At 50.1% G+C, this 26,959-nt stretch overlaps 4 annotated features.

The window, feature by feature from the left end:
* Positions 10,274 to 10,480: a silencer, noted in NCBI's record as "fragment chr9:125112881-125113087 (GRCh37/hg19 assembly coordinates)". NCBI's record gives its function as "represses an EF-1alpha promoter that drives an FKBP-Casp9 reporter gene in an ReSE screen in HepG2 liver carcinoma cells {active_cell/tissue: HepG2}" and the evidence as "EXISTENCE:reporter gene assay evidence [ECO:0000049][PMID:32094911]".
* Positions 17,572 to 18,095: an enhancer, noted in NCBI's record as "H3K4me1 hESC enhancer chr9:125105266-125105789 (GRCh37/hg19 assembly coordinates)". NCBI's record gives its function as "activates a minimal SCP1, AML or CMV promoter by ChIP-STARR-seq in naive H9 embryonic stem cells {active_cell/tissue: H9 hESC(naive)}" and the evidence as "EXISTENCE:reporter gene assay evidence [ECO:0000049][PMID:30033119]".
* Positions 23,403 to 24,006: an enhancer, noted in NCBI's record as "H3K4me1 hESC enhancer chr9:125099355-125099958 (GRCh37/hg19 assembly coordinates)". NCBI's record gives its function as "activates a minimal SCP1, AML or CMV promoter by ChIP-STARR-seq in naive and primed H9 embryonic stem cells {active_cell/tissue: H9 hESC(naive and primed)}" and the evidence as "EXISTENCE:reporter gene assay evidence [ECO:0000049][PMID:30033119]".
* Positions 24,007 to 24,612: an enhancer, noted in NCBI's record as "H3K4me1 hESC enhancer chr9:125098749-125099354 (GRCh37/hg19 assembly coordinates)". NCBI's record gives its function as "activates a minimal SCP1, AML or CMV promoter by ChIP-STARR-seq in primed H9 embryonic stem cells {active_cell/tissue: H9 hESC(primed)}" and the evidence as "EXISTENCE:reporter gene assay evidence [ECO:0000049][PMID:30033119]".

The following is a 26,959-nucleotide window of genomic DNA, read 5'->3' as shown; positions in this document are numbered from 1 at the left end:
CTGCCCATAGCCACCCACTCGTGAGGAGAGGAGCACCAGCTCTGTGAGCACCCCAGAGACTCCAAACCTGAACCCCTCCTCCAGGCCACCCTTAGGACAGAAACTGGGAGCCTCCTCGGGGCACCTGACACCCAGCACACAGGCGTGACCTCGCTGCTCTGTGATTCCTTCAGTTCCACTGCACCCATCCTGCAAATACTCAGAACATGACATCTTGGCCAACCTCCAGACAGGCCCCGGGAGTCCTCACCTCTCAAGAAGCTCCGAGATGATGGGGTGAGCCTCAGGAACAGAAGACAAAGCACAGAGGAGAGCGCTGGGAACCTCCTTGGAGGGACTCACCTGCCAGATTCTTAGGAGGATCTTAATTCCCAAGTGCTAAAGGTCCACAAACCAGCACCTGACCTGTTGCCACCTCACTGAGGCCACAAGTTCCATGACTAGGCCTTCACCTGCAAAGCGTCTCTGGGCTGCCCACTCCCTTATCTTCTCACCTCTTCTCTGACAGACCATTCAGCCTACCTTGTCTGCACCCCAGTCTCCTCTGACCCTCACTCTCAGTCCCCCAGCAACCCCCACCACCCTAGCTCATCACTCCCGCTTGCCTCCCCTGCCATCCTTTGGTTGCTGTCACCCTAAACCATCTATGGTTTTCTGTCACTCTCTTGGCAAAAAGGGACACACTGACCTGGGTTTACATCACACTGTCTGTGTGATCTTGGCCTTGTTGCTTCAATTCGTTGGGCCACAGTTCCCCCACTATAAAATAGAAGTATTTTGTGAGTGTTCAATACAACAATGGAAGCAAAAATACTTACCACATATTAGATGCTCAACAAATATTACATTTTCTTTTCTTCAAAGTCTGCTACCTATGAACTGGGTTAAGAAACTGAGAGGGGAGACTTTCTGACCTTTATGTTCCCCTTCATTCTCCTTAAAAAAATTTTTCCAGCCAGGGATTCATCCAAACAGAACTTCTCAGGGAAAGTGAAGATTCTGCGGGATATTTATTCTCCACTGGAACATGCTGTAGCCTGGGAGGCATTTATGACTCACCTTTGGGGTATGTCAAGGGGATATCTGCACGTCTGGGTTCATTTCAGCATTATTCCCAATAGCCAAGATATGGAAGCAACCTAAGTGTCCATCAACAGATACATGGATAAAGAAAATGTGGTGGCCAGGCGTGGTGGCTCACGCCTGTAATCCCAGCACTTTGAGAGGCTGAGGCGGGTGGATCACGAGGTCAGGAGTTCAAGACCAGCCTGGCCAAGATGGTAAAACCCATCTCTACTAAAAATACAAAAATTAGCCAGGAGTGGTGGCGTGCGCCTGTAATCCCAGCTACTTGGGAGGCTGAGGCAGAGACTTGCTTGAACCTGGGTGGCAGAGGTTGCAGTGAGCCGAGATCGAGATTGTACCACTGCGCTCCAGCCTGGGCAACAGAGCAAGACTCCATCTCAAAAAAAAAAAATAGAAAGAGAGAAAATATGGTATGTAGATGCACTGGAATACTACACAGCCTTTAAAAAGACAGAAACATTCACAACATGGATGGAACTGGAGGACATTATGCTATGTGAAATAAGCCAGGCACAGAAAGACAAGTACTGTATGACCTCACTTATATGTGAAATCTTACAAAGTCACTCTCATGGAAGCAGAGAATAGGGAGGTGGTTACCAGAGGCTGGGAGAGGGAGGTGGGGAGGAGGAGAAATGGGGAAAGGAGAGATGTTGATGAATGAATGCAAAGTTTCAGTTAGGAAGAAGAAGTCTTAGTGATCTATTATACCTGCATGGTAACTAAACTCAGTTAATAATAATGTATTATATATTTCAAAATTGCTAAAAGATTTTTAACATCCTCATCACACACAAAAAAATTACAAGTCAGTGAAGTGAAGGATTTGTTAATTAGCTTGATTGAATCTTTCCACAACAAATACACAGATAAAATCATCATATTAGCCAGGAGCAGTGGCTCACACCTGTAAATCCCAGCATTCTGGGAGGCCAAGGTGGGCAGATCGTCTGAGCTTAGGAGTCTGAGACCAGCCTGGGCAACAGAGTGAAACCGTCTCTTAAAAAAATGAAAAGAAAATTAGCCAGGCAGGGTGGCATGTGCTTGTAGTTCTGCTCAGGAGGCTGAGATGGGAAGATTGCTTGAGTCCAGGAGATTAAGGCTGCTGTGAACTGTGATCATGCCACTGCACTCCAGCCTGGGTAACAGAGCAAGACCCTGTCTCAAAAAAAAAAAAAAATCATATTTGATATGGTTTGGCTGTGTCCCCACCCAAATATCACCTTGAATTGTAATAATGCCCACATGTCAAGGGTGGGGCCAGGTGGAGATAATTGAATCATGGGGGTGGTTTCCCCCATACTGTTCTCATGGTAGTAAGTCTCACAAGATCTGATGATTTTATAAATGGGAGTTCCCCTGCACAAGCTTTCTTGCCTGCTGCCATGTAAGATGTGCCTTTGCTTCTGCTTTGCCTTCCATCATGATTGTGAGGCCTCCTCAGTCAGGTGGAACTGTGAGTCCATTAAACCTCTTCCTTTATAAACTACCCAGTCTTGAGTATGTCTTTATTAGCAGCATAAAAACAAACTAATACACATTGTACCCCATAAATACGCATAATTATTATTTGTCAATTAAAAATAAATAAATTTTAAAAATAAAAAAAGGAACCACCTTTGGGTATTTTTTCAGATTACACACACACATGCACACACACAAGTGAGCACACATGCATATGCAATGAAATTCTGATATTCCCTTCTTCCCATGCCATCATGAGCCTCCATTACCAATGAGAGTGTAGAGTGCAAAAGAAAATGGAGAAACACTGAGATAAATCATTTATATGCCAAATCATCTCAGACTCACAGTCTGCTTAGATCTCAGCCATGGACACCTCCCCTAACCAGGACTCTCCTTGCTGGAACTTCATGCCACCTTCCTAAGGCATGGTTCTCCTGGATCTGTCTCCTAGGAGTCTTTTAACTTTCTTAACCCAACCAACCCAACTTAATTCAACTCAACTCAATGCATCTCAACTCTCCTAAATTCAACTCAAGCCAACCCAGTTCAATTTACTTCCACTCAACCCACCCAAATCAAACCTTACACAAGGTCAATCAAACTCAACTCCACTCAACTCAACCCAACCCAACCCATCCCAACACAATCCAACTCAGTTTAACTCTACTAAATTCAGTTCAAGCCAAACCAACTCAACTCATCTCCACTCAACCAATCCCAAATCAAGCTCCACTCATTCAACCAAACTAAACTAAATTTGACCCAACCCTTCCTGACATGACACAACTACGCAACTCTACTCCGCTGTACTCTACCCAAACAAAACCAATTACACTCAACATAATTTAACTCAACTAAACTCATCCCTGCCCAGCTCAGTTCTTCATTTGTATCTCCTCCTTCCTTCCAACAACAAAGACCTTCCTCCCACCTCCCCACCAGATATCCTGTCATTCCCTAAATGACAGAGTAATGCCTATCTGTAAATGACAGGATATCTGGTAGGGAGGTGGAACACAAGAGTTAATGCCTGATCTAATGAAAGAAGGGGAGATTTTTCTTTGGACTTTGCCTCTCCTTGCTCTTCTCCCAACTCTAACCACATCCCCATACATATAATAACTATTATTCATCCCTGACTTTGCCATTTACTGCTACCCTTTAATGAAGCCCCAAGGCCATGAAGCCTCAGGCCTGTGACAGCTTTCACCTCTGCCCACACCACTTCTAGGGAGGTGAAGTCTGGAGGAGATTTAGATTAGGGGGGCAGGAAAAATTCCAAAAGAAGATTTGATGGCCAGAAGAGGGACCACCAGACTGGACACCTTGCAGGGAAAAGCAGGGTCTGAGTTGACCTCCAGGGAGCAGAAAACTCTGTCCCTGGCTTCTCTGCTCCATCCACCTGGCACTGTCTTCCCTCCTTTTTATGACCAGTCCTCCTTTGCTTGCCTTTATCAGCTTGGTGCTCCCTCGCTCCCTCTCTCTCTCCCTCTCTCTCATTATGTCTGCTCTGTCTGTGTGTGGCTGTCTTGGACTCCCCTCCTCTTTCAATAACTCTGTATTGCTGTCTTCCTCTCATTGACTCTTCCCTCTCTGTCTCTGTTTCTGGCACAATCTGCTTCATGTTCTAAGCTTTGGGTGGGGAATTGTTCCTCCTGAACAGAGATGCCTGCGTCCCTTCATCCCCTCCACCCTTTCTCCACCAGGGGAGCCCTAGGTCAGTCCCGACTGCCTGAGAACCAGGAGCTAAAGCTACTTCCCCAGTCAGGAAATTAGTATTAGACACAATAGAGCTGGAAGGAAACTGAGGCCAATCTTCTCATTTTATGGATGGGGAAACTGAGACCCAGAGACTGGAGGGGGCCTGCCCCAGATCATACAGTGTTAGGGGAATCAGAATGAGGCCCTCCTGAGGCTGGAGAGCCCAGAATCTGAACCCAGAGTAAGGAGATTTGAGCGTCAGGTTGGGAGGTGGGTGGGAAAACAACAGTGTCTGTCCCCAGAAGCCATCTTTATGAACAGAAGCATCAATCGCCATGCCATTACCGCCTCAGAGCAGTGCCTCACTGACTGTCTTTTTCCTCCATCTCTATCTCTTCTCTGTGCCTTTCTCTACCTCTCTCATAGTAAAATGTGTTGTCTGGAGGATGGGGAGGAGGGGAGCCAAGAAGCAATCTGGGTGTCCCTTTGATGACAGTCATCCACCACTGACCCCAACCCTTCCACCTCTTGGGATCAGGACTGCAGGTACCATTCTGAGAGCACCAGGGGGAAGGCCTCATAGGCCCAGGAGAGAGGAGGAAGCAGGAGTTTGCCTCCCACCACAGAGTGGCTGCTTGTGATGGATAGGACTGGGGTTTTATGACTCAACTATCCTAAATTCAACTCAGTTCAATTTACTTCCACTCAACCCACCCAAATTAAACCTTACTCAAGTCAATCAAACTCAACTCCAATCAAGTCAACCCAATCAAACCCATCCCAACACAACCCAACTCAGTTTAACTCTACTAAATTCAGTTCAAGTCAAACCAAGTCCCAGTTCTAGACTGAATGTAGAATCCAGCCGTTGCACCCTTGGCCACAGGCCCCCCAGCCAGCCAGGCACAGCCTCCATGACTTTCCTGGTCAGGGTGAGCTCTCAGACAAGGCCAGGGCTGCATTCCTTCCTATCTACCTCCCCCGCCAACCCACACCAGCCTCCTGGGTAGTCCAGACTCCAGAAGAAACCAGTGCTGGGGGGTGGATACTGGGCCAAAGGTAGGCTAGGGTAAGAAAAAGACCCCTCACCACTCCCACGGCACTCAATGTGGCCCCTCCTGCAGCCCAGCTGTCTCCTCCCAAGCCTGTGGCCTGCTGTATCTCTAACTGCAATCCCTCCTGCTAGAGTTGCCTCCTTCAGCAGCTCAGAGTTCCCAGGAGCCAGCCTGGGCCTTCCCCAGAAGGATATCTGAATACAGAAAAGGAGAAGAGAAGGCTGTGGTCTGTGTGGTGGGCAGAGGAGAAGCTGGGAGTGGGTGGGGTGGCTGCGGAACTCGGCTCTAGGCCCATGGACAGGCACCACTAGGACCCATCCTGACCCAACCTCCAGTTCCCTCCCCAACCTTTCTCTGAGCCCCAGCTTCCTGCCTTTCTGTAGGGGGTGCCTCAAGTCATTGAGCCCAAACCTCCATTCAACTGATCTGGAGACTGAGGCCTACAGCTGAAAGAGTTTGCCCAAGAACACGAAACAGAGAAGGAGCTGGAATCCAGGGCTCCTGGCCCCCAGGCCAAGGTCCTTCCCCAGTTGGCTCTCAAGATGGAGTTTGTTTGAGGCCCTGATTTCTGCCCCATCTGCCCAAAAGGTCAAATTCAGGCAGCCCACCCCCAACCCAGAGAGCGTCTTGTTTCTCAGAACCCACGAACTCAGGCACTGGAGGGAGCTGGGAATCTCAGAACCCTCACTCTGAGCCCTCACTCCGAGCCCTCCCTCCTTCCTCTTCCTTCCCTCTTCCTTTGGCTCCTCTGCAGACCTCTGGCTGGACTGGCTCTTCCTTCCTCTTTCCCCAGAACCCTCTCCCCACCCCCAGCAGCACTGGGGATAGACAGAGAGGAGGGATCTCAGCCCAGGCCTGGACCTTGAGGCACATGGGCAGCAAATGTGCAAGGCAAGAGTTCATTTGCTGCCACCCCGTCAGGCAGCCTGCGTTCTTGGACACAAGAAACTGAAATCCACCTCCCCAGCCTCCTGCTGGCCCTGCTGCTGCTCAGGGCCCACAACACAGGTCATTTTCTCTGCCCAGTGGGCCCTCAGAGTCAGGCAAGCAGCAATCACCCTCCCTGCCAACATCACTGTTTCCAGAGGCTACAAGCTCTCGGAGGCAAGCTCCTCCAAGAGGCATGAGTTCCGCCTCGGCCCTTACTAGCTGTGTGACTTTGAGCAAATCACCTTGCCTCCCTAAATGGCCAAGCCCTCATCACTAACATGGAGATAATTGTATGCATGGGCTTTAAAGGAGAAAAGAGATAGCATGGATAAGCACCTGGCACAGAACCTGGCATTTAAATGGTTAATGTCATTATGAAGTAGAGGAAATGTCCCTCTTCTGACCATGGCTTTTCACCAGATTTGTATCATTTATTTTCAAATCCTTTCTGAGTCTAATCTAGTTTTTAAGTTCTGTCCTATAGCACAGAGTTCAAAGTTTAACTTAATAACCAGTTCCTGGCTGAGCGCAGTGGCTCACGCCTGTAATCCCAACATTTTGGGATGCTGAGGTGAGTGGATCACCTGAGGTCAGGAGTTCGAAACCAGCCTGGCCAACATGGTGAAACCCCGTCTCTACCAAAAATACAAAAATTAACTGTGCATTGTGTCATGCACCTGTAATCCCAGCTACTCAGGAGGCTGAGGCAGGAGAATCACTTGAACCCGAGAGGCAGATGTTGCAGTGAGCTGAGATTGCGCCACTGCACTCCAGCCTGGGCAACAGAGGGAGACTCTGTCTCAAAAATAAAAATAATAAAATAACCAGTTCCTTAGTGCTTACTTTGTGCCGAGCACCTGGAACAGGGAAGAATAAGACAGAAGCTTCTGTGCCCACAAGGTACCCACACTGTGATGGGGGACACAGACATTGACCACTGACCAGGCAATGACCATGGGATAAGTCCTGGGAAAGAGGAGAAGAGGAGGCAGGTGAGGTACATGCAGGGCACCTAACTCAGTCCCCAGGGTCTTCCCAGAGAAAAGGTGTTCGTAGCAGAGAAGACAGTAGGTGCAAAGGCCCAGAGACAGAGAGTTCCCCTTTAGAGGAACTGTGAGAAGTAGATTGCATCTCAAGTGGATAACAGCTAGTACAGTTGACCCTTAAACAATGCAGGGGTGGCGAGGCACGGTGGCTCATGCCTGTAATCCCAGCACTTTGGGAGGCTAAGACAGGTGGATCACTTGAGGTCAGGAGTTCGAGACCAGCCTGGCCAACATGGTGAAACCCTGTCTCTACTAAAAATACAAAAATTATCTGGGCATCGTGGCAGGCACCTGTAATTCCAGCTACTCAGGAGGCTGAGGCAGGAGAATCACTTGAACCCAGGAGGCAGAGGTTGCAAGGAGCCTAGATCATGCCACTGCACCCCAGCCTGGCAACAGAACTAGACTCTGTCTCAAAAAAATAAAAATAATGCAGGGATTAGGGAAACTGACCCCCATGCAGTCAAAAATTCACATATAACTTTTGACTCCCCAAAAACCTAACCATTGATAGCCTACCGTTGTCCAGAAGCCTTACCAATAACATAACAGATGATTAACACATATTTTATATGTTATATATATTATATGCTATATTCTTACAATAAAGTAAATTAGAGAAAAGAAAATAGAGCCCCAATAAAAACTCTGAACACTGAGCTCAGATGCACTTCCTCAGTTGGCAATACTCCACAGATATTGTCACATTGATTCTAGGAGAGTGACACATTCTGATTCCATGGGAAGGACAATGGAAGCTTTACTTCATGTTTGAAAGAAACCCCCCTGGGCTCTGCCCTATACATCTCTCCCTTTGGCTGATCTTAATCTGTATTCTTTCCCTGTAATAAACTATAACCATGAGTATAACGGCTTTCAGTGAGTCTTGTGAGTCTTTCTAGCAAATTACGGAATCTGAGGGTGGTTTGGGGAACCTCTTGAACTTGTAGCTGGTATCAGAAGTGATGGTGGACAGGCATCGTGGCTCATGCCTGTAATCCCAGCACTTTGGGAGGCTGAGATGGGTGGATCACTTGAGGCCAGGAGTTCGAGACCAGCCTGAGCAACATAATGGTACTGTGTCTCTACAAAAAATAAAAAATCAGCCTGGCATGGTAGTGCATGCCTGTAGTCCCAGCTATTCAGGAGGCTGAGGTGGGAGGATCACGTGAGTCCAGGAGGTCAAGACTGCAGTGAGCCATAATCATACCATTGCACTCGAGCCTGGGTGATAGACTGAGACTCTGTTTCAAAAATAATAATAAACAAATAAATGAATAAATTTTAAAACTTTAAAATTTTTTGTCCAGGCACAGTAGCGCACACCTGTAATCCCAGCATTTTGGGAGTCCAAGGTGGGCAGATCACTTGAGCTCAGGAGCTCGAGACCAGCTTGGGCAACATAGTGAGACTTCATCTCTGGGGGAAAAAAATTAACACAAAAAATTATTTTTTAATTTTTTAATTAAAAAAAATTTTTAAGAAATGAAGGTGGGCCGGGCACAGTGGCTCACGCCTGTAATCCAAGCACTTTGGGAGGCCGAGGCGGGCGGATCACAAGGTCAGGAGATCGAGACCATCCTGGCTAACACGGTGAAACCCTGTCTCTACTAAAAATACAAAAAAAAAAAAAAAAAAAAAGCCAGGCTTGGTGGCACGCACCTGTAGTCCCAGCTACTTGGGAGGCTGAGGCAGAAGAATCACTCACACCTTGGAGGTGGTGGTTGCAGTGAGCCGAGATCACACCACTGCACTCCAGCCTGGGCAACAGAGCCAGACTCCATCTCAAAAAAAAAAAAAAGAAAGAAAGAAAGAAATGAAAGTGGTCTTGTGTGGAGTCTCTGCCCTCTAACCTTGTAGTTGGCCCAACTTAGCACAATTTCTTATGTGATATTTCAGTTAATAGTGCCTCTTAGGCACTATTATCATCAATCCCATTTTGGAGATTGGGAAAATGAGATAAGGAACCTGACTGAGGTCACACAGTTATCAAATGACAAAAGCGAAATTTAAAAGCAGATACCAGCAGGGCTTGATGGCTCACGCCTGTAATCCCAGCACTTTGGGAGGCCAAGGCGGGAGGATCATGAGGTCAGGAGATTGAGACCATCCTGGCTAACAGGGTGAAACCCCATCTCTACTAAAAAAAAAAAAAAATACAAAAAATTAGCCAGGCGTGGTGGCAGGCGCTTGTAGTCCCAGCTACTGGGGAGGCTGAGGCAGGAGAATGGCGTGAACCCAGGAGGCGGAGCTTGCAGTGAGCTGAGATTGCGCCACTGCACTCCAGCCTGGGCGACAGAGTGAGACTCCATTGCAAAAAAAAAAAAAAAAAAAAAAAAAAAGCAGATACCCAGGCACTAGCATCTACTCCTGTAACCACTGTGCTATGCTGCCCAGCTAGTGGGGGAAAGAGGGGGCTTGTGGGAAGCAGAGCTAGAGGGTTTGTAAGAGACTATTTCTAAGAGGGTGGCAATTCTAAGAGGCAGCCTGGCAAAAAGGCTAAGTTTTGTCCTGGGGGTAATAGGGAGCCATTGATGGTTTCAAGCAGGGAGAATATAAGTATTCATGCATTTTAACAAAGTCCCTCTGGATGTAGACTGGGGAGTGGATTGCAGACAGGCCTGAGTGGGGAGAAGACCAGGTGAGGACAATGACGCGGCTGGACCCGAGTCGTGGTCTTGAGAATAGAGAGCATGGGACACATGCCATATGTGCCTAAAAGGTAGGCTTGACAGGACTTCGGGACAGACCGGATTTAGGGGAAAAGAGAGGGGGAAGAGTCAAGGGTAAAACCCAGGCTTCCAGATTAGACAATTAGGGTATTAAGTCCCTTAGACTGGGAAAGACAGAAGGAAGAACAGATTTGAGGTGGGCCATACCACCATTAATAGTCCCAGATTCCCAAAGGGGTCAATGCCCCAGAACAGGGCAACCCCCACCCAGGCACAGGATCCCGTGTCTAGACCATCAGTTACCAGGACAATGCAGCTAGCTCCCAGCAGAGAAGTGGCACCCTCCCCTGCCTGTGAGTGGCCACCAGGTGGCAGCATAGGCCGCCTTTTTCCAGGGCTGGCCTGGCAGGCCGGCCAGAGGAGGGAGAAGGAAGCATCTATTGCTGCTGGAGATGCAGCTTTGCCACGAGACCACGGAAACTGGACCACAGGCCTGTGGAGATGAGTTCCTGCAGCTATGAAGTCAAAAAAGCACCAATCTAGTAGTCAGGAGTCCTGGGTTCTAGATACACCAGGGACCCAGAGCAGACACCTGCCCCTCTCTGAGGCTATGGGTTTTCCTTAAAGAGGGCAAACCCTCCTTAAGGAAAGAAGGCCAGAGCTGCCAGACGGAGTATTAATTCCTTCTCTGTTTTCCATCCCCGACAGCTGTGGCTTTTAACCATATTTTTAGAGGCAACTTCTTTTTTTACAAGCAAAATCCAAAGACCCTCTCACTCCCTGCACCTCCATCCCATGTATAAAACAGAAAACATGTTTACACTGATCTGCTGTGGTTGGAGTAGAAGCTGGGGACTCTCCCAAGCCCACACAGAAGATAAAATCTTCACCCTGACGTTGAGGCCCCTACCTCTCCAGTGCCATCCTCATTCTCCTATCCAGACTGAGCGATCTTTGCCCATCCTGGACCTTCTCTTGGGAATATCCTTCCCCTCCTCTCTTGATTCAAACCCTCCTCATCCTTCAATGTCAGATCCCTTGACACCTCCTCCAGGGAGCCCTCTCCAAAGCCCCTAATGGAAAGCGTCACTCCCTCTACCACACTGCCCTGGCACCTCAGTCCCCCACAAGTACCAAGCACCTGCTGTGTCCGGGCAATGCAAACAAGTGAACAGCATCTCTCTTCTCTCTGATCCTGAGCACCTGCGGGGGTCAGGGGAGGGGACCATGCCTGTTTCCCCCATAACAGAGTGTGCCCAGCCTCACCCAGCTAGGAGCTGGCAGACCAGCCTCTGCCCCACCAGGCTTCACTGAGCCACGTTAGTGGTCACCTTTTCTGGGCTTCAGCTTCCCCCCTCTGTATAATGGGGGCAGCTAACACCTAATCAGGACTGTGTGTAGAATCAGGACTAGCTACGTAATTTGAGGGGCCCTTTGAAAAATAAAAATATGCAGCCCCTTGTTCAAATATTAAAATGTTCAAGACAATGGCAGTAGAAGATTAAACCAAGCACAAGTCACACACCTGTGGAGTCTGTGCACTACACAAGAGGTCTGAAATCAGCCAACCTATGCCCAAGTGTGGGGCTGTGTCAGCCAAAAAAGATGGTCCGTTTTCTTCATGTAAGTTCACTTTCTGTTGGTCAAGCTGGGGACCAGCAGGACTGCATCCTCCCATTAGGGAGCACCTTTTCTCAAGTCAGACAAAGGTATGGTATTGGCCAGCAGGCACCCTGCCCGACTTCATAGCACTACCATGTAAAATGGGCTTGTTGAGTGAGGAGAGAGAACCAAAATCCAGACACAAGAAATTGGAGACCAGGGGCCAGGTGTAGTGGCAGGCACCCATAATCCCACACTCGGGAGGCTGAGGCAGGAGAATCACTTGAACCTGGGAGGCAGAGGTTGCAGTGAGCCGAGATCATACCACAGCACTCCAGCCTGGGTGACAAAGTGAGACTCTGTTTAAAAAAAAAAGATAGTGGGGATTTATACCAGAGATGTGCAATCAGGACAAGCCAAAGGGTGGAGATCCGAAACTGCAAACCTCACCTCAGAGCAATGTGATTCAAGGCCAACTTCCAAGTTCAGAGGTCAACAGCAGTTGCTCAGTCCTTGCCTTGTTCTTTCAGCCAGTATTTACTGAGCACCTACTATGTGCCAAGCACAGTTCCAGGCTTCATGATACAGCAGTGAGCAGGACAAAGTCCCCTTCCTCCCAGGGTTCACATTCTTGCGGTGGGGAGAGGAAATAAACATTATTGAAAGAAAATAAATGAACCACCCAACTAAAGATAAGTGATATGAAGAGAATTAAACAGGGTGAGAGGGAAGGACTGCTGGTAGGTGGGCTGGTTCATATAGGGTGGCCAGGGAGGGTCTCCCTGAGGAGGTGACATTTGAGCTGGGCTCTGAATGAAATGGGGCCAGCTGGTGCCCCAGCTGCAAAGCATGGGGGTGGGCGTGCGGAGCTGCCTGCAGGAGGAGAGCCTGCAGAACCACACTTTGCTAAAAAGGCGAAGGCGAAGGCAGGCTGGGCAGGAAGTCTGGCCCCCTGTAACCATATCCCCAGGAAGGAGGAAGCCAGGAAGACGCTTTCAGCAGTCGTATTCATCAAGGCCTCTGCTCTAACCCGGGGCAGCACCAGAGGCTCCTCAGGCCCGATCCACCTTCGGCCAGGCCGCCTGGGGAGGGGACAGCAAGGGAGGGAGGATAACCCTGGATTCTCTTCCAGACAATAAATGCTTCCAGGTTCCTAGGGAGCATTCTGTGGGTCACAGCTGCATCTGATCTCAATTACCCCAGGGTGTAGGGTTCCCCGGCCGGGCAGGGATAGGGGTGGAGGGGAGGCCGTTTCTCCATAATCAGAATCTCCTGGCCTAGTGGGTGAAGACACCTCAGGACAGGTCCCCAAAATTTCAGGACGCAGGAAAAGGGTTCTCCCCAAAAAGAGAGGTCTGGCTGTGTGTGAGTGGAGGCTCTGCTTCACAGCCATTTTGCTGTGTGACCTGGTGCCACTCACTTAACCTCTCTGGGCCCCTGTGGGAACTGTGAAGATTCAACCTTTTCCTTTCCTACCTTTTCCCACCAAAGAGGCAAGAGGACAATCTAGGCCAAGAGGGCAAAGCTCAATGCTATGGGCTGGGCTGGGCTGCAATGGGTGGGGTTGCTAACTCCTTACTTTTTCCTGACTTGATTAGATCTTAACCCTTATGCAAATATGTCCCCGCCCAAGATTATGGTGCCAGCATTGTCAGGAGTAACATCTCCCAAAACAGAGCAGGGCCGAGTCCCATTCCTCAACCAGCTGGGGCAAGACACTTTATATCTCTGGGCCTCAGTTTACTCATGTCCACCTCCAAAAGGGACGTGAGGATTCAGTATCAGGTGTGACGCCGGTTCACCCAGTAAGTGATCATTCCATCAGTTTTTCAATCAACAACCACCATGAAAGTGGCAATGCCTCTAAGCACGGGAGAAAGCCCCCGGTTTGTAAAAATTTTGCACAATAGGGTTTTTGTTATTGATGGCCTTAAGCAAGTTTTTCCTCTTCCGGGTCTCTGTTTCCCATCCATAAAGGTGCCTGCAAACAACGTTCCGCTCAGAAGAGGGTGTTTTAGGCCAGAGTTGTGGGGCGTGGCTCAAGCTACAGTGGTAGGTTTCTTAGCTGGTGAAACTTTCCTCCGAAATCCTGGGTTTCACTGTGCACCTTCTCTTGTCAGGAGGCTGAGGAACCGTAGCACAGGGTTGGGTTTTTAGCGGAGCAGGAAACTGGACGCGGGGAGTGGAGGGGGCGAGCACGGGGGTCTGCCCTGAGAGGGCTTCCAGTAGCCAACGTTCATTTCCCAGGCTCAGGGAGGCGGCGAGCCGGGATTCGAATCTGCGCCTCAAAGCCGAGGGGCGGAGCCGGGAGTGGACGCCGGGGTCAGCGGAGCACGGGGCCGCGCTTCCCCCGGCCGCCCGGGCCGCTCCGCGGGCGCTCTTTCTCCTTTTATGTCCGCGCGGGGCCGGGAACTCCCTGCCGGGCCGCGGCCCGCGAACAATGCGCGCTTCCTGCCCGCCCGGCCGGGCCGCGGCCCGCTCACTCCCCGCCCTGCGGCCGCCGGGAAATGACAGCAGCCCGGGACCGCCGCGCGGGTACACGGGGTCGCGCCCCGGGAGACGGACGGGGCCGCCCACCGAGGGCCGCCGGGCGAGGGTGCGAGGTGACCTAGCGACGGGCAAGCGGCAGCGGGCAGGCGGCCGTCATGTATTCAGGCGCGCGCACAAGCCTTCTGCCGGTCGCACCCCTTGTAACATGCGTGTCTGTGCCATGCACCTAAGTCTCCACTGCACGCTGCACGTGCCCCACACAGCCGCATTGCCTGCGCCGACATCCACGTGTTGCTTCCACACGTGGTGGCTGAGTGGGTGGGCATCTGCCAGGGACCAGGCCCTGTGCCAGGCACTGGGGGTCCAGCGTGAACAAAGAGAAAAGCTGGCCAGGCGTGGTGTCGCGCGCCTGTAGTCCCAGCTACTCGGGTAGGTGAGGAGGGAGGATCGCTTGAGCCCATGAGTTCCATGCAGGCTGCAGTGAGCTGTAATGGATGGCGGCCAATACAGTAAAAACTGAGAAGAGCTTTGGACTTCTGAAGTTTATGCTCTAGTGAGGGAGGAAACAGAACATCCTAAATTACTACATTATATGGTATATTAAAAATCAATACTTTTAGGGAGAAAAGGGAAGAAGGGACTGGTGGGAAATTGGGGCTGTTTTAAACAGGGTAGCTATGGATATTTTAACTTAAGAAGGTGACGCTGGAGCAAAGATGCACAAAATATGTGTCACAAACAAATAGATACATCTCAAAATTATATACAATATATACCTCCAAGTATATGTATTACACAAACATACTCCACTTACATCCACATGCCTATAAATACCCCATGCATAAGCACCTCACATACATCTGCACATACTAGACCATATAAATGCATGGTATACAGTATATGCATAGTCTAGTATACAACATGCATACTATCTCTGCTACATGCATACCTTTTTTTTTTTTTTTTTTTTGAGACAGAGGGTTTCACTCCCATCACCCAGGCTGAAGTGCAGTGGCACAATCTGGGCTCACTGCAACCTCCACCTCCTTGGCTCAAGCAATTGTCTTGCCTCAGCCTCCTGAGTAGCTGGGACTACAGGTGCACGCCACTGCGCCTGGCTAATTTATCTACTTTTTGCACAGACGGGTTTTGCCATGTTGCCCAGGCTGGTCTTGAACTCCTGAGCTCAAGTGATCCATCTGCCTCAGCCTTCCAAAGTGCTGGGATTACAGGCATTAGCCACCACCTGGCCTACATCTGATCTCTCTCTATGGCATCTGCATCTATAATATGTATCACTTCTGTGCACACAAGTGTCCTGCTGTGTGCCATGTGCACATTTATGCCTGCACCCTAGATGTATACATACGCAGACCCCGGGTAGACCATATGTGTATCACAACCCTCAAGTATGTGCTTGTCTAATTTCATAAGCCACATGTCAATATAGTACATCCAAAGACATCATAATACATGGATTTACATGCCTTGTGTTCATCATGTAAAATATATCGTATATTCATATACCCAAATACATGTGTCATAAACCTTGTGTAAATGTATGTCTATACACACCACACAAACACAGCTACACATCTCTCTGTCACAAATATACTACATGCCCATTTCCCACACATTCTTGTAGCTGTTTTATATGTCCCATATCTATGTGCAAATAATAGCAATAACATTTACCGAGTGATTACTATGTGCCATATGCACTGCTGGGTGGATGACCTCATTCAATCCTTCGGACAGGCCTATGCAACAGGTCCTATTCATTTAGCCTGGCTGCTAAAAGTTCACACCACAGTCAGATCACCTGAGTTTGAATCCTGGCTTCACCATTATCTAACCTGTGGCAAGCTTGTTTCCCCATCTGTAAAATGGGGCCGATAGTAGTACCTCCTTTTTTGAGTTGTTGGGAAGTCAATGAGATCATCATGCATGAGAAGCGTATAGTACAGTGCCACACATAGACTGAGTGCTCAGTAAATGTTAGCTGTGATTATTAGTATCTGTGTTACAGATGAGAAGTCAGGCTCAGAGGGGTTAAATGACTTCCCTAAGGTCAACCTGTAAATGGAGGAGGCAGTTCAGCATTCCACAGTACTGTATCTGGAGCTCATGCCCCCCAATCACACAATGGGGACAAATACACACACACACACACACACACACACACACACACACACACACACACACACACATCAGGCACATTCCCTGTAGACTCCAAATGCTCATATCATTAACACATGCCTCACATAGTTCCCCTGTACCTATCACACAGACATAAATTCGTTGAGCATCTATAGTTTTGTTTGTTTGTTTGTTTATTTGATGTCCAACTTTTTTTTTTTTTTTTTTTTTGAGACGAAGTTTCACTCTTGTTGCCCAGGCTGGAGCGCCATGGCGTGATCTCAGCTCACTGCAACCTCCACCTCCCAGGTTCAAGCGATTCTCCTGCCTCAGCTTCCCGAGTAGCTGGGACTATAGGTGCCCGCCACCATGCCCGGCTAATTTTTGTATTTTTAGTAGAGACGGGGTTTCGCCATGTTGGCCAGCCTGGTCTTGAACTCCTGACCTCAGGTGATCCACCCTCATCAGCCTCCCAAAGTGTTAGGATTACAGGCGTGAGCCACTGTGCCCGGCCCGACTTCCAACTTTTATTTTAAGTTCAGAGGTATATGTACAGGATGTGCGGGTTTGTTACATAAGTAAACGTGTGCCACGGTGATTTGCTGCACAGATCATCCCATCACCTAGGTATTAAGCCCAGCATCCATCAGCTATTCTTCCTGATGCTCTCCCTCCTCCCACCTTCCACCCTCCAACAGGCCCCAGTGTATGTTGTTCCTCCCCCATCTGTCCGTGTGTTCTCATCATTCAGCTCTCACTGTAAGTGAGAACATGCGGTATTTAGTTTTCTGTTCCTGCGTTTGTTTGCTGAAGATAACGGATTCTAGTCATTGAGCATCTATATAATCAACAGCTATCCACCATGTGCCAGGCTAGATGCTGGGGTACAGCGGTCAGCTTCTTGCTTTCATGGCACTTACCAGCACACACCACTGTGAACACATACCACATGTAACCTGCATACATGTGGCCCTGCTGTGTGCACATTTCCCATTTGTAGCGTCATGAACATACAGCCCATAGGCACGAACCACTCACTTGCCCCCTTGATGGATCAGCCCAGCCTGGACAACATAGGAAGACCTCATCTTTGCAAAAATAAAAAGAATTAGCTGGGCACGGTGGTGCCCACCTGTAGTCCCAGCTACTCAGGAGGCTGAGATGGGAGGATCGCCTGAGCCCAGGGGGTCCAGGCTGCAGTGAGCCATGATTGCACCGCTGCACTTCAGCCTGGGTGACAGAGTAAGACCCTGTCTCAGAAAAAAGTCAAAAAAAAAAAAAAAAAGGTGGATCACCTGCACATAATCCATGTAGACACATCTCCTATTATTTACCCACACCCAGTATATTCATACCACTTGTACCTGCAACCCACACATACAATCCAAAGTAGAGTGTGCACACAACAAATGTAGATGTACCATATACACATCTGCTCATGTTCATTCACCCTCTGCCAGCATGCACACTTTCCTTAAGGCATTTACCTATAACCTGTGTGCATACACGTAGCCGGTATGTGTGACTGGTGTACCTGTTCCCCTATCTACCCCACACGGGCAGCTTGGGAGGCCCAGGCGGGCTCCCCTGGGTGGGTCTGATGTGAGGGTGGGGGGGTCAAAGAGGCAGAACCTGGACCCCCATCACAGGGGAGAGAAGGTGGCCCTTGGCTTCACGGCTGGTGGCCAGGAAATTATAGTCGACACCAAACCAAAGCGGCCTCTTCTAGGGCCAGGTAATCAGGCCTCTCCCGGATTTGGTGTGACAGCTTAAATGTTCTAATTCCGCTGCCAGGGCCCCCACTCCCCAACTCCGGCCGTGGCCCAGGCCTCGGCCCTCTGAGGTAATTAGACCCACGTTTTCATTACCCTGAGATTAGACAGGTCCCCTCCGGCTGGGGGACGCCCACAGCTGCACGGGAACCATCCCCCGCACGAATGCATTTACCTGATTATGGAGTTTATTTTATATCAATTGCCCCAGAGTGTTGGAGGCCCGCTTTGCCCTACCCCCTGCTCCCCGGGCCCCAGAGGCCTCTAACAACCCCGGACAAGTGGTTTCTGCCTAATGTACGGATGCTGCCTCCTCCAGGCCCTGCAATTCTGGAGGCCCCACTGACCCCCTGCATGGACTGGGTCCCCTGTTTTAAAATCACTTAAGGAATCTGAGGGGGATGAGAGTTAGAAAGGGCAGGAGGAAAGCATTCCAGGAATTTTCTCCTGCGGTACATGTGGAGGTAGGGATGGAAGATTCCTTTAGGGATCTTCCTTCCAAAGCTGTGTTTCATTTATTCATCCAATGAATGCTATTCAGTCCCTGAGCTAAACGCAACACCACTGATGGGTGAGAATGTTCATTCATTCAGCACCAACTGTGTGCCACAGAAGAATATGCACATGGCCCCGGCATTCCTGGAGACCACAGTCTGGAGGAGGGAGGTAGGCAATAGTCATTGCAGGTGACTTTTGCTTAGATGAGGGCGGTGAGATTTGCAGGCTGACACAGAGTGGAGAAAGGAAGTTTAGGGAAGGGGGTGCGTTTCAGGCAGAAAATACAGCAAGTGAAACAGCCTCCAGAGAAAGAGGGTCTGATGTGACTGAGGAATTGACAAAAGAATGAATATAAAGTTTAGGGTGTGAGGGGCAGTGGTAACACCTGAGAATCAAGCTTTGCAGGACACCAACCATAAAGGGCCTCAAATGCCATGCTAAATTGTTTGCACTTTATCCTGAGGACATGGGAGCCATGAGAAGGCTTTGAGCAAGGGAGGAAGCCATTGTCTACCATTTATGTCTCAAGTCCTCACTATGTGCCAGGCATGGTTCTGAATGCCTTGTGTATAGGAACTCATCTTATCCCCTCATCAGCCCCATGCGTGAGCAAATACTCCAGGCTCATCATCCCTTAACCACAAGATTGAAATTCAAAAAGCTTCAGTGACCAAAAAGGTTTTCCACAGGTCTGATGCCACATCTGACCTGGACTAAGGAGAGGCTATTTTGGGTCTTCATTTCACTACCTGATACGAATATTTATATGTTTTTGGGAAAAAACATGAATTTAATTATAAGAAATGCCCTAGATCCCACTGGGAGGTCACGCAGCACACAGGATACGTTTTGCGTTAGACTTTAGAATAAGAAGAACTCTGAAACTCATCTAACTTTACAGGTTTTAGAGAAGGGACTCTGGACTTAGAATCTTTATGTTACAGATGAGGAAACTGTCATAGAGTGGGTTAAGTACCCTACTCCAGACCACACAGCAGTACAGATTCAGACAATATAGATCCAGACTGTATTGGCTTTGGAGTCTGCAGCACACACCCTCTCTGTTGGCGTCCAGGCCTGGCCCAGAGTTTCAGGGGCCCCTGGGGATGGGAGAAGGAGCCAGCACTGCTCAGCACTTGCTCTGAACCTGGCCCTGTACGGACCCTGCTGGCCCTTGACTGTCAGCTGCACCCAGCTGTGGGCATTTCTACCCCCATTTTGGAGGTGGGGAAAGCAAGGATCAGAAAGGGGCATAAGCTTGGCCAAAGTTCTGCAGCAAGTGGGTAGCAGGCCAGGCGTGGTGGCTCACACCTGTAATCCCAGCACTTTGGGAGGCTGAGGTGGGCAGAACACTTGAGGTCAGGAGTTCGAGACCAGTCTGGCCAACATGGTGAAACCCCATCCTTCTAAAAATACAAAAATTAGCCAGGTGTGGTGGTGTGTGCCTGTAATCCCAGCTACTCCAGAGGCTGAGGCAGGAGAATCCCTTGAACCCGGGTTGGGAGGTGGGGGGCGGAGGTTGCAGTGAGCGGAGAGCATGCCACTGCACTCCAGCCTGGGTGACAGAGCAAGACTCTGTCTCAAAAAAAAAAAAAAAAAGAGATGATAGGGTAGCAGAACTGGGAATGGGGCCCAGGTCTGGAGTCACCAGAATCCTGATCTTCTTGCTTTTCTGGGGACCAGCAGATGAGGCACAAGCTGGGCCTGGTGGGGCTACGGAAGTAGACCCCAGTCAAAAGCAGATCTTGGTCAAGAACCCCAGCCCCAGGCTGCAGGCAGCACAGCTACTGTACTCCAGGCCCTGGGTGACAGCCCCCACCCCACCTCCATCCCCACCAGGCCTGCCTCAGCCTCACTCCTGGGCTGCCCCTCTGCCTCTGTGTCCAGCGCCCTCCAGAAAGCCTGCCCTGATTCCCCCAAGCCAAGCTTCCATCTTCCTCATACTCAGGCACTCTGCTTATGCCTTCTGTACTCCCCTTCATTAACTCAAAGTGTGTTTAAGCCATTTCACTCACATGGCCTCACCTGCCCAGGGATGTGGGGGTCCTCCCTTCGGAAGGTCAAGTGGTGCCAAGGGACTGAGCACAAGCTCTGGAGCCAGAATAGACCAGGATTCAAATCCTAGCTGGGATCATTATTAGCAGTGTGATTCAGGAAAATCACTTTACTTCTCTAGATCTCAATTTCCTGAACTGTAAAGCGAAAACAATAGTAATAGCATCTCCCTCAGCGGCTGCTGTGAAGATTAAATGAGGCAATGCTTGTCAGATGCCCCAGCACGAGGCCTCTACTCACGGAAGCTGCTGCCTTAATCACTTTTAGCTGCCCGGTTCATTGTTGACTCTCAGTAAGTTCTGATCATTCCTTTTGCTGCTACGAGGGATGCTCAATTTTAAAAAGAAAAAGGAAAAAAGCCTCTGAGCCTGGCTCTTCACACTGCCAGGATGTGGCCCTTGCCACTTCTGCCTCATGTCCTGAGACTTTCTTTTGGGACCCCTGACTCTGCATTTGTACTTCACGTGCTCATGGTTCCCTGTCCCCTCTCCAGGGTTTCTTACCTCCTGCCTCTGCCTGTACCATTCTGGACACCTGGCACTCCTTCTCCATGCCCCATTTATGCATGTCTCAATTCTATGATTCACTCATATTTACTCATTCATTTATTCATAACAAATGTTTTATTAAGTCTACTTTGTGCCCAGCTCTCTACTAGCTACTTTCACATAAGATAATCTTCTTGACAGCCTTGCAGGGGAAGGAGTATTGTCTGCATTTTATAGAGGAAGAAACTGGGCTCAGAGAGGTTCAGTCACTTGCCCGAGATGACACAGCTAGCACGTGGCAGAGCTGGGATTTGTCGTGGTCCTATCAGTCTCCAGAGCTCAGCTATTTCCTCTCCATCCTGCAGGTGCGCAGGTTGGAAAGCAGGCGTGGTAGGGGAAGGCAGCCCTTTGTGCCTGGGTGGGAGAGAGGGGAGTAGGGAAAGGTGAGGCAAGGTAGATTCATTCTGCCAGGAGAACCTGGGGGAGGGGAGGCAGGAAGGGAGCTTCTTTGGGGGCAGCTGGCCGCAGACAGCAGCAGGTTTGTCTAGGATGATCCCAGTCGGCTTGAAGAGTCAGTGGGAGTCCTCTTGAACCCTCCCCACCCAACTCCAGCCCCCTCTTCCAGCCTGAGTGAGAATAGGTCTGTGATGAAAGAGAGCTGGCTGCTTCCCAGCCGTCCTTCCCTCGTCCTGGGAGGGAAGGACAGATGACCCAGTGCAGGTCACTGTAGGAAGGCTCCAAAGAGTTCAGAAATGAGCCGCTCCCCAACCTCCTCCTTCCAGGGCCACAGCTCTAAAGGAAGCAGTCCTGGGGATCTCAACTCTGCCAATCCCAGACAGAGGCCAGCTCTGGGCAACACGTGACCTGACAGCAAAGGAGCAGATGTGGCCTGGCAAAGGGAACAGACAACCAGACCCAGGGAGATGAGGAGATGGACAGGGAGGCAAGGGAAGGGATGGGGGAGGAAGGGACAAGGAGACATACAGGGAGATGGAGACAGGGAAACAGGAGAGAAATGTACACAGAGATGCAAGCAGAAAGAGCCTAGGGAAGCTGAGCGAAAGCAGAAGCAGAGGTATAGGCATGGGCAATGACTGGATGAGTGGGGGCGTCCATTCAACCAGGAAAGAAGACATCTTCCTGACTGCACACAGGACAGAATGATGAGGGAATGGTCCCCAGGGGCAGCCAGAGGAACAAGAAAGTGGCCCCCAGCCTGCATCAGGAGACTCTCACTTCAATGCTGTGTGACTTTTTACCCAGACCTCCCCTCTCCAGACTTCAGTAGTCCCACCAGCCACACAGGAGCCCTCTGCTTCAATTCAGATTCCTGCATCTCTACAAGCCCCGTCTAGGGAGCCGAGGGCAGTGACAGGAAAGAACCTGAGCCCGGAGCGGTGGCTGCACAGGCGTGTCTCGTTCCTGACCATGGCTGGCTATGACCCCAGCCACTTCCAGGTTCCCTTGTGTCCATGATGGCAGTAGCTTGGGTCCCTGAATTTTTGTGCATCCACATGTCTCTCTCTGCATCCTGTCAGGTCTGTGTTTACGTTTGAAGGTTTTATAAAGAAGCTGCCCAAAGGAAGTGAGGTTTGCAAAGTGCAGACCGTCGTCTTGGCTCTAATGCTTAGCGTGTGGGATGCTCAGCTGTTAGCCCTGGGTCCTCTTCCTCCCCACACCTCCCTCCAGCCTTGTGCCTAGTGTTGAGTCCAGGCCCGGACTATGAATCGTGACAGCCACCAGAAGCATTTGGAGGACAGACCAGGATAGGAGGCTGGAGGATGGCTTCTGGGAATGGAAGCTGCAGGAATCGAGAAGACCAGCCCTAGGAAGGTGACCCAGGAGAGCACAGTCACCAGCTGCTGACCTCAGGGGCTACAACGGGGCAAAGGAGCAGAGGTGGGCTGGGCCCAGAGCGCACAGTCAGGGCTGGGGAGGGTGGCTTCAGGAGTCATAGAAAGCACCTTCTCGCTATGGAACTGTGGGAGGCGGAAGAGGGTCCTTGCAGGGAAGGAGTTTCTCATTCCCAGGGAGGAGAAGTTGCCAAACCACTGGACAGAGGTGTCGTAGAGAGGATTCAAGCATCAGATAAGGGATGGATTAGGAGACTTCTGAGGCCCAATTCTGAGAATATCCTGGCCCTCCACCCAATAAAGCAATAGAGAAATCCAGAAAATGATGCCGGAGACAACTGCCTCAGGCTCCAAAATTTCCCACCTGCCTCGGGCTGGCTTTTGTCTCTTACTGGTTGCCCACACGGCCACAGCTTAAGCCCTCCAGAGGGAGTAATGACAGTGATTATGATCATAACAGCAGCAGCAAATACACAGCAGGAATGCACTGCTATAGCCCCACCAGTTGTTAAAAGATTGAAACATGTCCACACCAGTTGTTAAATAGCCACTGCTCCAAGCATCTTGAGCACACCCTCCCCTGCCAGCCCAGCTGCCAGGGCCTTAACTTCACATTCCAGTCTCTGCCCAGAGAGAGAGCCTGTCCTACTCGGAGCATCCCTGTGCTTCAGTTCACCTGGAGAACACTATCCTGAATGGGGTGCCCAGCCTTGGCCACAGAGGCTGCCCACTGCAGGGTGCCCCCTCCTCCAAGGCCCCTCTCCCAAAGCCTGAGCAATCAAGGCTGCTGCCTCCCTGGGCTGGTGCAAGTGCCCGCCTCCTCCCGGCCCCTCTCCTCGGCTGCAAACCCAGCTCATTTGCATGTGGATCGCGCCTGCCACCATGGGTGCTGGGGTCAATTGAAACTCAAGAAAAGAGAAGAAATTTATGCAAAACTGTTGATTGCATTTGTATGTAATGAAATCATCCAATATTCATCTGACTATAGAATCTAATCTGAGAAGAGAACTGAAGGACATGAGTGTCACTGCAAAACCGTAATGAGCCACTGTAGTGATTAAAAAAGCTCTTGAGCCTTCTGAAAATCCAGGCAGAAATAGCGTCTAATCAACTCTGAATATAGGAGGCGAGATTGGGCTGGCGCGTTGCGCACGGCCCGCCGCGGTGCTGGGGGTGCGTGGTAAACCCTGGCGGCCGCGGTCTGTGGGTGCCAATCGCCCGGCACCCACCACAATCAGCCGAGCCCTCGGCGCACAAAGCAATCTCTGCCTCTCGCCATGCAGAAAGAGCCCAATCACAGCTGTTGTGAAGAGCAGCTTGAGGCTTCTGCACCGGCCTCAAAAGCCTCACCTAAGGCCTCTTCTGGGTTCCTTGCTCCAACCGAGAGGCAGGAAGAGTTTGGGGACCTGGGCCTGCCATACCTGGACACACCTGTGGCCCAGACAGCCCCAGGCAGGGGAGGGTCTGTGTCTCGCAGAAGCCCTCGCTCATCACTGAAATGTCACCTCCTCTGTGAGGCATTCCCTGACTGCCCCATCTAAACTGACAACCCCCACCCCCTCACCACCACCCTCCCAATTCTTTAACTCCTGCTTTGTTTTCCTTCACAGCACTCAGCTATGCCTGGCACTAAGTTATTTCTCTATGGATTTAATGCCTGCCTCTCCCAAGTAGACCGTGAGCTCCACAAAGGCAGGGACTTTGTGATGGTTTGTTTACCCTGTGGAGTGTGGAGAACCATGCCTGGCACTTAGTAGGTGCTCAACAAGTATCTACCAAGATGCTTAAATATTTGTTGAATGGCTACATCAGTTTCACTAGGAAGCCACATGTATTTATTTGTGCATTCAGCAAATACTTGTTGAGTGTACAGTGTGTGTCAGGCTTCATCCTGGGGACTGAGCGTGCAGTGTGAATGAGACAGTTCTTGCCTTCTCAGAGCTCACAGTTGGGGCAGGAGACAGATGCGAAAGTCGTTACATATAATCAGATGGGATAGTGCGGTGCTGGGGGCAGACCAGAGGCTCTCAGAGCTGCTAAACCCAATCTGGGGAGGTCAGGGAAGGCTGCCCGGAGGGAGTGACATTGGGTTGAGAGCTAACGGACATATAGAAGTTAGCAAGGCCAGTAGGGCCTGGAATGTCCCAGGCAGAGGGAACACCACGTGCAAAGTCCCTGAAGTGACAGCCACCGGTGGGGAGCTGAGAGACGCCAGAGCAAGGAGAGGCTGGGGTGAGATGGGGTCAGAGAGATGGTCAAGCCTTGCAGTTAAGACCTTGGGTTAAGAATTTTGGATTTTTTCCTGGAGGTCATAGGGAGCCTCTGAAGGCTAGTGGCCTGATTTGCGTTTGAAGAATTTACCCTCTGGAGAAAACGGATCAGAGGGCCAGGCATGAAGAACAGAGAGACTGGTTAGGAGGCTATTCAGTCATCCAGGTAAGGGGGAGCCACTGAATGTTTTTGAGCAGGATGTTATAGCAAAGGCTGTGTTTTTGTTGTTGTTGTTATTGTTTGTTTTGTTTTTTGAGACAGAGTTTTCGCTTGTTGCCAGGCTGGAGTGCAATGACACAATCTCAGCTCACCGCTACCTCTGCCTCCCGGGTTCAAGTGATTCTCCTGCCTCAGCCTCCTGAGTAGCTGGGATTACAGGCATGGGCCACCAGGTGCAGCTAATTTTGTATTTTTAGAAGAGATGGGGTTTCTCCATGTTGGTCAGGCCGGTCTCAAACTCCTGACCTCGGGTGATCGGCCCGCCTCGGCCTCCCAAAGTGCTGGGATTACAGACATGAGCCACCGCGCCCTACCTAGGCTGTGTTTTAAGGTTATTAATCTGACGGCAAGAGATAGAGGAGAGGAAGGGAAGTGAGGTAGAAGCCAGAAATCAGCCTGGCAGTCCATTCATTCATTCATTCATTTGTGTATTCCTCATTCAACAGACATCTCTGTGTGAAAGCTGCCCTTCTCCACATTGTAATTTATAGTTTCCAATCTGCTCTGGGTTTTGATACCAAGTTACCTATTATTAACACAGGTTCTAAAGCTGTAGTCAGTCAGTTCTGAGACTCCAACGGACTCTGTGGATCATGAGGCTGCTTATTTTGGCATGGACTTTCTGACATCAAAGTGTTCTTGTGAGTCATTTGCCCTGTTTAGGCCTTAAATTCCTCATCACTACAAAGAGGGCGCCAAACTAGATTATCTCTAAGACCCTTCTCTGCTCCCCAAACCCTGCAATTTTTTGCCCCATGAAGGCTTAAAGACATCTCAAACCCCGGCAGCTTAAAAATCCCAAAGTGCGGTCTGACCTGCAGTCTGTTAGACTCCACTGGGCAGCCAAAGGAGCAGGGAGGAAATCAGGAAATCTGGGTTCAAGTCCCAGCTCTGCTATTCACTGACTGTGTCGTCAGTGGATGAGTTCTTCCCCTCTCTGTGCTTCAGTATCCCACTTGTAAAACATGGAGCTGTCTAGAAGTGGGAAGAGCTATAGCAGACCCAAGACACATCCACCTCCTAACAGGTCAGATGGGAGTCCCAGTTCCAACACTCACTGCATCTGTGACTTTAGCAAGGCACTTAGCCTTTCTGAGCCCGTTTGCTAAAAATCTAAGCCCAAAGGGCTGTTGTGGGAATGAAGTTAGATAATGTGGCTTAGGGGCCAAGCATCGCGTAAATGCTCCATGAGTAGTGGCTGCCTGGATGGGTGGGCTGGGACTGATGTCCTTTCTCCTTCCTTCTCTACAATGGCTCCATTTTAACCAGCAACTGGGATTCACTGGGGGCTGGAGAATTAGTTTTTTTTTTTTTTTGGAGATGGAGTCTCACTCTGTCAATCAGGGTGCAGTGCACTGGCGTGATCCCGGCTCACTGCAACCTCCGCCTCCCGGGTTCAAGCGACTCTCCTGCCTCAGTCTCCTGAGTAGCTGGGATTACAGGCACCCACTACCATGCCCATATTTTACATCCATCCATGGAAACCCCACTCTTCAGCAGGTAAGTAAACGCAGTACATCTATATGGTGCAGTGGTCAGCTGGGGCCATGTTTCAACAAGAATAGGGCCCTCAACACATGATGGGCAGTGGAAGAAGCAAGCAGAGTCCTATTAC

This window comes from Homo sapiens, chromosome 9, assembly GCF_000001405.40.
Source record: "Homo sapiens chromosome 9, GRCh38.p14 Primary Assembly".
Classification (NCBI taxonomy): domain Eukaryota; kingdom Metazoa; phylum Chordata; class Mammalia; order Primates; family Hominidae; genus Homo; species Homo sapiens.
The sequence above is the reverse complement of the archived record's forward strand: the minus strand, read 5'-3'. Positions and strand labels throughout refer to the sequence as shown.